At 45.3% G+C, this 12,672-nt stretch overlaps 1 long non-coding RNA gene and 1 pseudogene across 1 annotated transcript in view, besides 2 other annotated features; one reads left to right on the top strand and one right to left on the bottom strand.

Annotated features, from left to right (window-relative positions):
- Positions 1-12,672, bottom strand: part of IL12A-AS1 (IL12A antisense RNA 1) — a 293,693-nt gene that overhangs the window by 179,542 nt on the left and 101,479 nt on the right. The window lies entirely within an intron of this gene.
- Positions 5,200-5,700: an enhancer, noted in NCBI's record as "H3K4me1 hESC enhancer chr3:159815928-159816428 (GRCh37/hg19 assembly coordinates)". NCBI's record gives its function as "activates a minimal SCP1, AML or CMV promoter by ChIP-STARR-seq in primed H9 embryonic stem cells {active_cell/tissue: H9 hESC(primed)}" and the evidence as "EXISTENCE:reporter gene assay evidence [ECO:0000049][PMID:30033119]".
- Positions 5,701-6,201: an enhancer, noted in NCBI's record as "H3K4me1 hESC enhancer chr3:159816429-159816929 (GRCh37/hg19 assembly coordinates)". NCBI's record gives its function as "activates a minimal SCP1, AML or CMV promoter by ChIP-STARR-seq in primed H9 embryonic stem cells {active_cell/tissue: H9 hESC(primed)}" and the evidence as "EXISTENCE:reporter gene assay evidence [ECO:0000049][PMID:30033119]".
- Positions 7,750-9,971, top strand: BRD7P2 (bromodomain containing 7 pseudogene 2; annotated as a pseudogene).

The raw sequence follows: 12,672 nt of genomic DNA on the forward strand, positions 1-12,672 counted from the left end.
AACCTCGTGTCATTATCCCCTGTCCCGGCCTTTGGCTTTCCTTTCCTGGCCTTCACCTGATGGCATTCCTGGTGGCTGTATTTACCTGGCCTTACCCGCTAGGCCTTCCCCACCTGACCTCATTAACCTTAGGGACATACTCACCTGCTCTCTTCACCTGCTTGGCCTTAGTCAGTGTGACTTAATCTGCTGGCCTCATACTTTTCTGGTGTTTACCACCTAGTTTTATTCCTCTGGCCTTCACCTTGTCACCTTCCCCACACTGTCTCGCCCACCTAATATTAGCCTTAGGTCATCATTTGGCTGGTTTGGAGAATTACCCTTAATCCAACTGGGTGTTTCCCCAGCCTGGGAATAGTCTTCTATTTAGCTTAAACACCTGGTTTTAATAACCAAGCCACACTCAGCAGAACTTATTAAGCTCATTGGCTTCATCACCTTATCTTATCCTCTTGGCATTATGAACCTGGCATTATCTATCTGGCTTTATTAACCTCCTGGCCATTCTCTCCGAGTCTTAATTTCCTAGATTAAAAGTCCTGGCTTCACCTACCTGGACATAACTTCCCGCCCGCCATAATCCACTTGTTCTTACCTACCTGGCTTTAATTTGCTGGCCTTGATCTCTGGTCAAGACCCACATGATCTTGCCCATGAGGCCTAACTCGGCTGCCATTACTCCCTGGTCTTACCAACTTCATTTTAGGGCCTTGGCCATACCCCATTAGCCTTCTCCACCTGGTCTATCCCTATGGGCCTTAACCTTGTGGCCCTAACAACTTGGATTAGCCACCCAGCTTTCCCACCTAGTCTTCCCAACTGTACATGACCCACATGGCCTTCACACTTGGTTTACACAATTGTCCTTAGCCTTCTGGTTTTATCTACCAGGACTTAAACCACTGGATTTACCTCCCTAGGTTTACTTCCCTGGGCTTATACCCCTGCCCTTATTCCCTGGATTTACCACTGCTCCCCAGCCCCTGGATTTAGAATCCTTGCATTAGCCAGCTGGACTTACATACCTGGCCTTAACCTCATGGCCTTACCAACCTAGATGACCAATATAGCTACCAACCTGGCATTCCCACCTGGCCTTAACCTTTCATTCTAACTCACATAGCCTTCTTTCCTAATCTACCTAGCTTTAACCTCTTAGCATTACCCACGTGGAGTAGCCACCTAGCTCTATTCAGGAGGCCTTAACTTACTGGCATTACCCACCCAGCCTTTTCATTCACTTGGCTTCCTGACCTGGTCTTAACCTCAGTGTTTAGCCAACTTAGATTCACTCAAATGCCTTATGAACCTGCTGGACTTATTCAATATAAATCCCCTGAACTTATGCACCTGGCTTACCCACCTGGCCTTACCCTCATGTTCGTAACAACCAGACTTGCCAAACTGATCTTACCAACCTAGCCTTACCCAGTGTCCTTCAGTTAGTCTTTTTTTTTTTTTTTGAGATGGAGCCTTGCTCTGTCACCTAGACTGAAGTGCAGTGGCACAATCTCAGCTCATTGCAACCTCCTCCTCCTATGTTGAAGCAATTCTCATGCCTCAGCCTCCCAAGTAGCTGGGATTACAGGCGTGTACCACCATTTATGGCTAATTTTTGTGTTTTTAGTAGAGACAGGATTTCACCATATTGGCCAAGCTGGTCTTGAACTCCTGACCTCAAGTGATCCACCCGCCTTGGCCTCCCAAAGTGCTGGGATTACAGGCGCAAGCCACAGCGCCCTGCCCACAATTACTCTTAAACTTCTGGTCTTGCTCACCTCTCCCAGCCCTACTGGCCTTGACCTAATGTCATTATCCTCTGTCCTGACCCTTGGCTTTACTTTCACAGCATTCACCTTTTGATGTTACCACATGGCCTTATTTACCTGGGCTTACCCACTTGGTCTTGCTCACCTTCTGGCCTTACCCACTATGTCTCCCCCACCTGACTTCGTTAATCCTACAGCCAAACTCACCTGCTGTATTCAACTGCCTGGCATCAGCTAGCATGACTTAATCTGCTGGCCTCAAACCCTTCTGGTGTTGACCACCTGGTTTTATCCAGCTGGTCTTCACCTCCTTGCCTTCCCTGCACTGTCTTACCCACCTACATTAGCCTCAGGTCATCATTTGGCTGGTTTTACAACTTGCCCTTAATCCTACTGGGCAGTTCCCCCGTTGATATCCTGGCCTGGGGTTGCTCAGTCTTTTCTTCAGCTGGATTTAAACACCTGGTTTTAACAACCTGGCTGCACTCAGCAGAACTTATAAGCTCATTGCCTTCATCACCTTATCTTGTCCTCATGGTATTATGAACCTGGCATTATCTATCTGGCCTTATTAAACTCCTGACCTTACTCACCCAGTCTTAATTTCCTGGCCTAAAAGTCCTGGCCTTAACCACCTGGTCAAAACTTCCTGCCATTATCCACCTGTACTTATCCACCTGGCTTTAATTTGCTGGCCTCAATCTCTGGTCATGACCCACCTGATCTTGCCCACGGGGCCTTACTCCCCTATCCCTCACACCTGGCCTTACTCACCTCTTAGGGCCCTGGCCAGACCCTATTAGCTTTCCCCACCTGTCCTAACCCTAAGGGCCTTAACCACATGGCCTTAACAACTTGTATTAGCCACCTAGTTTTGCTACCTAGTCTTAAAGAACATAGTTACCTACATGGCCTTCACACTTGGTTGACACAACTGTCCTTAACCTTCTGGTTTTATCTATCAGACAGTAACCCTGGATGTATAGCCCTAGGTTTACTCCCCTGCCTTACTTCCTATATGTACATGCCCTCTTCCCCATTGCTTTTCGATTTAAACACCTCCCATTAACGAACTAGACTTATCCATGTGTCCTTAACCTCATGGCCTTACCAACCTGGAATGCCAATATAGCTTGTCACCCTGGCCTTTCCACCTGGCCTTAACCTTTTGTTCTTACTCACATGGCTTTAACCTCTTGGTCTAATCTGCATAGCTTTAACCTCTTAGCATTACCCAGTAAGAGTTGGCCTCCTAGCTCTATTCAGGAGGCCTGAACTTACTGGCCTTATCCACCTGGCCTTTTAAATTGCTTGGCTTCCTGGCCTGGTCTTAACCTCATGGTTTTACCAACGTCAATTTACTCACCTGCCTTATTAGCCTCCTGGCCTTGCTCATCCAGTATTACGCCCCAGGCTTTATGCACCTGCCTACGCTTCTGACCTTACCCTACTGGCATTAACCTCATGTTCTTACCAACAGGAATTACCCAACTGATCTTAGCTACCCAACATTAACCAGTTGGTCTTCATAATTAGTCCTAACTTCTGGTCTTACTCAGCTCTCCCAGCCCTGCTGGCCTTAACCTAGTGTCATTATCCTCTGATCATCCTCCCCTGCCTTACTTTTCTGAGCTTCTTCTATTGCCTTATCCACCTGGCCTTAGTAAACTTAGGGCCATACTTACCGGTTGTATTCATTTACCTGGCTTCAGCCAGCATGACTTAATTTGCTGGCTAGGTGAAGTTAATCACCTAGCTTTGTTCAACTGGCCTTCACCTCCTAGCCTTCCCCTTACCACCGGGTATTAGCCTCCTGTTATTATTGGCTGGCTTATCGACTTGGATTTAACGCTCTTGGTTGTTTCCCTTTGATTGACAGGTCTGTTGTTACCCGGATAGTCTTTTATTCAGGTGGATACACGCAGCTCGTTTTAACAACATGGCCTTACTCAACAGACATGATTAACCTCATTGTGTTAATCACCTTATCCTGATGGTATTCTTAAACAAGCTTCATCCATGTGGCCCTACGAAACTCTTGGCCTTACTGACCCAGGCTTCATTTCCTGGCTTAAATGTCCTGGCCTTACCCACCTGGCCATAACTTCCCATGATTATTCACCTGTTCTTATCCACCTGGATTTAATTTGCTGGCTTCAATCTGCCATCAGGACCCACCTGATCTTACCCATGGAACCATACTCTCCTTCCCTTATTCACTGGCCTTACCACCTCTTTTTACTGCCCTGGCCAGACCCCATCAGCCTCATCCACCTGGGCAAACCTTATGGGCCATAACCTAATGGGCTTAACAACCTGTATTACCTACCTAGTTTTAACATTAGTTTTACCCACCATATGTTACCCACATGGCCTTCACACTTGGTTCTTAACTTTCTAGTTTTATCTACCAGGCCATACTCTCCTGGCCTTACCCCGCTAAAATTACCTCCATAGGTTTACTTCCCTGGACTTATGCTTCTGCCCTTATTCCCTGGATTTACCACCTCCTCCCACCCACTTCCCCCTAGACTCATACACCTTGTATTACCCATCTAGATTCACCCATTTGGCCTTAACCTCATGGCCTTTACCAACCTAGATTACCAACTTACATTACCTACCTGGCATTCCCACCTGGCCTTAGCCTTTCATTCTAACTCACATGTTTTCTTCCGCCCAGTCTCCAGTCACAAACCAAATTATGAAGAGAGTGTGTGTGCCTGTGTGTATGTTTGTGTGCGCAGGCACTGGAATGGTTCTTTGGAAGACAGTGGGTGTGGCACACACACGTGGCATCAGATCCCAGCCTGGAGCTGTCTACTACATACATGGAGTGTGTGTGTGCCTGTGTCCCAGCTGGAGTGCAGTGGCGCGATCTTGAGTCACTGCAACCTCCACCTCCCGGGTTCAAGCAATTCTCCTGCGTTAGCCTCCCGCGTAGCTGGATTACAGGCATGCGCCACCGTGCCCGGCTAGTTTTTGTATTTTTAGGAGAGACAGGCTTTCACCATGTTGACCAGGCTGGTCTCAAGCTCCTGACGTCAACTGATCTGCCCAACTTGGCCTCCCAAAGTGCTGGGATTACAGAAATGAGTGTGTGTGTGCCTGTGTCCCAGCTGGAGTGCAGTGGCACTATCTTGAGTCACTGCAACCTCAGAAATGAGCCACCGCTCCCAGCTGAGACTCTGCATTTCTAACAAGCTCCTATTTGATGCCACTGCTGGCCTGAGGGCCCTCACTTTGCACAGCAAGGTTTCACTCAATTTGTTTTTGGCTTAAACTAACACTCTGACTGATATGGCAAAACCCCATATCTTTAAAAATACAAAAAAAAAAAATTAGCTGGGGTGTGGTGGTGCATGCCTGTAGTCCCAGCTACTTGGAAGGCTGAGGAGGGAGAATTGCTTGAACTTGGGAGGTGGAGGTTGCAGTGAGTCAAGATTGTCCCACTGCACTCCAGCCTGGGTGACAGAGCAAGACCCCGTCTCAAAAAAAAAAAGAAATGCAGAATCTCTCATACTGGACTAGAGCCTAAAGAAAAACTTAATTTTAAAAAAAGAAATGCAGAATTTTATGCCCACCCAGACCTACTGAATCTGAATCTACATTTCGACACAACCCTCCAGGGATTTGTATGATTCATGTTTGAGAAGAAGTAATTTTAAAGCTACTGGGTAGCTCACAGACTCTCCAGAAAGCCAGAGAGCCAGATTTGGGACTGTTGCCACCAGGTACAACACCCACATCACTCCATAGAGGGGAGGAACCCAGTGCCTGGATCACCAGGCCCCGGGCAAGAACTGAAGGCTGCACCGCTAACAGTGGGGAGCTGCTTTCACAGCAAAGCCGCCATCTCCTCCTCCCTCACCCTGGAGCCCATGTGGGCCTGTCCCTTCTCATTCTCTAGCTTTCAACCCAAGGCAGATAGAGAAGGTTACTGGGCCGAGGCCACAGCCCATCCCTCAGCTTAGGGGAGACCAGGAGAGGGAGTGGCATTTTCAGTTTAAGTAATGAGGTAAGTTTAAGTAAGCAGAGGTGTGCCTAGGGAGGAAGGGGAGGCTTCAAAACACAAGCAAGGGAGTTCAGCTGCTGTGTGGCCAAAGATTTAGCAGACTCCACTCCCTGCATATGTGGGGGCAGAAGAGTTGTGGAGTACAGCTGTGCCACTACCTGCCCAGTTACCTTTACCAAGGACAGGAATATCTTATACCCTCTGTTTCCTCTGCTTTAATATTACAGTATTTAAATATGATGCTTGCTGTATACACAAGGCTTTACAATTTGCAAAGCATTCCCTTGCATGTGTTTTCATTTGAGCCACAGTACGATTCTTTGTGATAGATAAAGAAGGAATGTAGTGTGATCTCCATTTTACAGATGGGAAGAGAAAGAGGCTGGGAGTGACCAGCCTAAGAGTGCTGAAATTCCAAGTCTTCAGGCTCTTCACAATGCAACCCTGTAACCACAGTCAAGTAGTTAATGTGTGTGAAAGTAAGTTAAACACTATAATGTGTTATTTCCCTGAAAAGGTGTTGCTTATTGCCCTAGTAATGCTTTATAAATACATATCTAACTTAATTGATTCAGCCACCAAGATGTTGACCCCAGAATCAGTAAAGTAATCCCCTTTCCCTTTTAGTGGCATCCTAAAACTGTTACTAGGAACAGTTAATAATTAATGTCAGTGGTGAGGTACATATTAATGCCACAGAAACCCAGATGGAAGGAGCTGATTAAAATAGTTTCCTTCTTAAGAGTCTTCTGTAGAAAGTAATTGAGAGAATCTCACGTGTTTCTTTTGAGCTCTTTGGAGGAAATAAAATGGCTATCATTTCAATGAACTTCTTAAGTTCTACAAAATCCTTCATCCAGTTCCAGGAGGTAAACGGTAGCTAAAGGACAAGGACAATGACAAGACCAGAATTCAGGTCTTCTGTTCTCAAGATCAGTGTTTATTTTGAGGATTTGTTGTTGTTGTTGTTGTTTGAGATAGCGTCTGGCTCTTTAACCCAGGCTGTAGTGCAGTGGCGTAATCTCGTCTCAGTGCAACCTGTGCCTCCTGGGCTCAAGTGATCCTCCCACCTCAGCCTCCCAAGTAGCTAGGACTACATTGCACGCCACCACGCCTGGCTAATTTTTGTATTTTTTGTAGAGACAGGGTTTTGCCATGTTGCCAAGGCTGGTCTCGAACTTCTGGACTCCTGGACTCCAGCCTCCCAAAGTGCTGGTATTACAGGCACGAGCCACTGCAACTGCCCTTGAGTTTCTTAAATAATGAGTCTCTTCTGCTTTTTTCTCTAGAAAGATATACAAATTTTGTTTCCTCTTCTCTCTCTTCTAATAATAGGTCACACCCTATGGGTTGCATTTTTTTTTTTAAATCATCTGTCATGAATCCTCGGTCTCTAGTTTTCTGTTATTGTTATGACATAAAGTGAAAGCCTCAACACAGTTTTAAATTCGGGTCTCAGATCAAATATGGTTGGCAAATCCTGCCCAATGAAATAAGTTGTCAGCTGAAGCAGTGACAAAAGAATGAGTGCTTTTTTTTTTTTTTAACTGTTATGACATCCCTGCTCTGTAAGTAAATGATGGTAAATATTACTACAATGAAATCTAAACTGGAATTATTTTATTCATGTTCATTTTATTTGACTTTTTTGCAGGGAGAAGAATCCTTTCTGTTTAAATATATAAGTGTTGGTACCTATTTAACCATTTATGGAGTCTCTACCATACAAGAAGTACTGTGGTAAGCATTTTAAATATAGTATCTCAAATCCTCTTTGGTGTTATGAACATTTTATAGTGAATGAATAGCTATAATAATAATAATACTTGCTACTTTGTACAAGGTAGCCAGCAATAATGCTAGCTAAGCCGATTCACATATGCTATCTTGTTTGCCCTAACATCTTCCTTATGAGGTAGCTACTATTGACATTCTCATTTTCCAAATAAGAAAAAAGACGGATTGGAGACGGGCATCGCGCCGCCCGGCGTGCGCCGCACGCCTGCCTCGCGGCGCGGAGTCTCGCGGGCCCCGCTCCCGCCCTCCGCTCGCCTGGCCCGGACCGGAAGCGGCGCCGCACGGCCTCGGCCTGGCGCGGGGGACGGGCACCGGGGCCCGGTCGGACATGGGCAAGAAGCACAAGAAGCACAAGTCGGACAAACACCTCCACGAGGAGTATGTAGAGAAGCCATTGAAGCTGGTCCTCAAAGTAGGAGGGAACGAAGTCACCGAACTCTCCATGGGCAGCTCGAGGCACGACTCCAGCCTCTTCGAAGACAAAAACGATCATGACAAACACAAGGACAGAAAGCGGAAAAAGAGAAAGAAAGGAGAGAAGCAGATTCCAGGGGAAGAAAAGGGGAGAAAACGGAGAAGAGTTAAGGAGGATAAAAAGAAGCGAGATCGAGACCGGGTGGAGAATGAGGCAGAAAAAGACCTCCAGTGTCACGCCCCTGTGAGATTAGACTTGCCCCCTGAGAAGCCTCTCACAAGCTCTTTAGCCAAACAAGAAGTAGAACAGACACCCCTTCAAGAAGCTTTGAATCAACTGATGAGACAATTGTAGAGAAAAGATCCAAGTGCTTTCTTTTCATTTCCTGTGACTGATTTTATTGCTCCTGGCTACTCCATGATCATTAAACACCCAATGGATTTTAGTACCATGAAAGAAAAGATCAAGAACAATGACTATCAGTCCATAGAAGAACTAAAGGATAACTTCAAACTAATGTGTACTAATGCCATGATTTACAATAAACCAGAGACCATTTATTATAAAGCTGCAAAGAAGCTGTTGCACTCAGGGATGAAAATTCTTAGCCAGGAAAGAATTCAGAGCCTGAAGCAGAGCATAGACTTCATGGCTGACTTGCAGAAAACTCGAAAGCAGAAAGATGGAACAGACACCTCACAGAGTGGGGAGGACGGAGGCTGCTGGCAGAGAGAGAGGACTCTGGAGATGCCGAAGCACACGCCTTCAAGAGTCCCAGCAAAGAAAAAGAAAAAGATACGCTTGAAGATAAGTTTAAAAGCAATAATTTAGAGAGAGAGCAGGAGCATCTTGACCGCATTGTGAAGGAATCTGGAGGAAAACTGACCAGGCGGCTTGTGAACAGTCAGTGCGAATTTGAAAGAAGAAAACCAGATGGAACAACGACGTTGGGACTTCTCCATCCTGTGGATCCCATTGTAGGAGAGCCAGGCTACTGCCCTGTGAGACTGGGAATGACAACTGGAAGACTTCAGTCTGGAGTGAATACTTTGCAGGGGTTCAAAGAGGATAAAAGGAACAAAGTCACTCCAGTGTTATATTTGAATTATGGGCCCTACGGTTCTTATGCACCGCATTATGACTCCACATTTGCGAATATCAGCAAGGATGATTCTGATTTAATCTATTCAACCTATGGGGAAGACTCTGATCTTCCAAGCGTTTTCAGCATCCATGAGTTTTTGGCCACGTGCCAAGATTATCCATATGTCATGGCAGATAGTTTACTGGATGTTTTAACAAAAGGAGGGCATTCCAGGACCCTACAAGAGATGGAGATGTCATTGCCTGAAGATGAAGGCCATACTAAGACACTTGACACAGCAAAAAAAAATGGAGATTACAGAAGTAGAGCCCCCAGGGCGTTTGGAGTCCAATACTCAAGACAGGCTCATAGCGCTGAAAGCAGTAACAAATTTTGGCGTTCCAGTTGAAGTTTTTGACTCTGAAGAAGCTGAAATATTCCAGAAGAAATTTGGTGAGACCACCAGATTGCTCAGGGAACTCCAGGAAGCCCAGAATGAACGTTTGAGCACCAGACCCCCTCCCAACATGATCTGTCTCTTGGGTCCCTCATACAGAGAAATGCATCTTGCTGAACAAGTGACCAATAACCTTAAAGAACTTGCACAGCAAGTAACTCCAGGTGATATCGTAAGCATGTATGGAGTTCGAAAAGCAATGGGTATTTCCATTCCTTCCCCCGTCATGGAAAACAACTTTGTGGATTTGACAGAAGACACTGAAAAACCTAAAAAGACGGATGTTGCTGAGTGTGGACCTGGTGGAAGTTGAGGCTGCCTGGTATTTGATTATATATTATGTACATACTTTTTCATTCTTAACTTAGAAATGCTTTTCAGAAGATATTAAATATTTGTAAATTGTGTTTTTAATTAAACTTTGGAACAGTGAAAAAAAAAAGAAAAAAGACAGATTAAGAAACTTGCCCATAGTTCCTTAATTAGTCAATGTTGGAGCCTATGTCCAACCTCATGTAGGTTCATTGCCAAAGCCTGCTGGCATCCCAAGAACAGGTTACCTCTAAGTTTTGGTAAATTCTTCAAACACTCTTACCTTTGAAAGCCTAATACAGCATAGGCTCTAGCACCTGACCAACCTGGCTCCAAATCCTAGTGGATCTGTTTGGCAATTACCATCAACAGGGTTTCTCCTGTTCCCATAAGCAAGTCATCTTTGTAGCCAGTGGGAAGAGGAGAAAAGAACGAAAGCACATGCCCCTTTTTTATAAGAGCGTGAATGATCTGTTCCCATCCCATTCATCAGAACTGAGTTTTACAGATTATCCTGGGGAGGCTTGGGAATGCTGATTTCAAACTAGGCAGTTATGTGCTCAGCCAAAATTTACAGATTTTACTAATAAGTAAAGGGAAGAATAGATGTTGGATAACCAGGCAACCAGGAGTCTTTTCCTCCCTGAGTTTTGGTACTCTGTGACCTTGGACAAGTTTCTGATCTTGTCTGAGCTTCAGTTTTGACCTGTGCAAAATAGTATCATGCCTGTAATCCCAGCACCTTAGAAGGCCCATGTAGGCAGATTGCCTGAGCCTGGGAGTTGGAAACCAGCCTGGACACCATGGTGAAATCCTGTCTCTACAAAAAATCCAAAAATTAACCAGGCAAGATGTCATGTGTCTGTTGTCCCAGATACTCCAGACGCTGAGGCGGGAGGATCATTTATGCCTAAGAGGTTGAGGCTACAGTAAGCTGTGATCTCACCACTGCACTCCAGCCTGGGTGACAGAGCAAGACCCTGTCTCAAAAAATAAAAAGAAAAAAGAGTCTCTGAAGGAAGGCTATGTTTGAATGGGACTCTTCGCAACAGCCAACTGTCTGAATTGCAAGAAGTGATGGCTGAATCAATATTAGGCCCTTAAAAATCCATATTCTGACTTTGGAAGTATCTGCAACTTACATTTCTACAGACTGAAGTTAAAATGTGCATAAGTGGGCCGGATGCAGTGGCTCATGCTTTTAATCCCAACACTTTGGGAGGTTGAGGAGGGCAGATCACCTGAGGTCAGGAGTTTGAGACCAGCCTGGCCAACATGGTGAAACCCTGTCTCTACTAAAAAAAAAAAAAAAAAAAAAAAAAAAAAAAAAAAAAAAAAAATTAGCCTTGCATGGTGGCATGTGCCTGTAATCCCAGCTACTTGGGAGGTTGAGGCATAAGAATCGCTTGAACCCAGGAGGTGGAGGTTGCAGTGAGCCAAGATGGTACCACTGCACTCCAGCCTGGGTGACAGAGTGAGAGTCCGTCTCAAAAAAAAAAAAAAAGTGCGTAAGTGGTGCCTGATGGTGACCACTGGAACTGGGAACCAGAAAATTTCCAGATGTGGCAGTATAGTACATGTCATTATTGTGTTGCTGTTGTGCTGCTATTTTTTGGGCATTAATTGAAACTGCCCCAATAACTGAAAGACATATGATAATCTTAAAATCTGATATACCTATGATGTCTTGGGTGATGTCAGAGAAAAATTCTGATAAGGAAGCCATTGACCAGAAGAGCTGACTTTGTAATAAAATGGAAATGGTTTATACAGGAATATACTACTGGAAGAATGCAAGGAGGTTCTCATCGTATGCATGAATGGGTAGCCTCATTTCCTCTAGGACACACTTTGGAACCCTCTGAGAAACTACCAGACTGTATAACCACCTGGTGGTTGGGGGGGTCCTTATAAACAGCCCTTGATTGATCAACAAAAAGCTGCTTGGTTTACAGATAACAGTTTCACAGTGGATGGTCAGCATCCTGTTTGGAAGGCTCTGCACTATGACCAAATAATGCAAAAATTCTAATTGAAGAAGTTGAGAACAAATAAGCTCAGTGGCTTGATTGCCTACTGGTTTTCTCACCGTGATGGAAGAATTGAACAATTCCCCAAAGTCTGGGTGCATTCCAACTCATGGGCATTGGCCAGTGGATGGCTGGCTACATGGTCAGGAAAATGGGCAATGGAAAACTGGATTCTTAAAGGAATGTCCATATGGATCATGGCCCTATGAACATCAGTAAGAATTTAAAGAATGCAACCAGGCATGGTGGCTCATGCATGTAATCCCAGCACTTTGGGAGGCCGAGGCACGCGGATTGCCTGAGGTCAGGAGTTTGAGACCAGCCTAGCCAACATTGTGAAACCCCGTCTCTACTAAAAATATAAAAATTAGCCACGTGTGGTGGTGGGCGCCTGTAATCCCAGCTACTCGGGAGACTGAGGCAGGAGAATCGCTTGAAGCCAGGAGGCGGAGGTTGTGGTGAGCTGAGATTGCACCACTGCACTCCAGCCTGGGTGACAGAGTGAGACTTTGTCTCAAAAAAAAAAAAAAAGAATTTAAGGGATGCATTAAATAAGACACATAAATGCTCATGAGAAGAACCTCTTTTCCAGCCTGAAAGTGATTGCAACTTTAAGTCAAAATCTTGTTGCACTTACTTGAGGTGGCCAACTGGGTCCATGAAGTGAGTGGACATGGGGAAGTGGCAGCAATGCAGAGAGGGGTAATCATAGACACATATTCCTCTGCACCCTCAGAAGCACAAAGTGCCAGGAACTGTCCTGTCCGCCAGCAGGAAACATGAACACTGCAGA

This window comes from Homo sapiens, chromosome 3 (genome assembly GCF_000001405.40).
Source record: "Homo sapiens chromosome 3, GRCh38.p14 Primary Assembly".
In the NCBI taxonomy this organism is placed as follows: domain Eukaryota; kingdom Metazoa; phylum Chordata; class Mammalia; order Primates; family Hominidae; genus Homo; species Homo sapiens.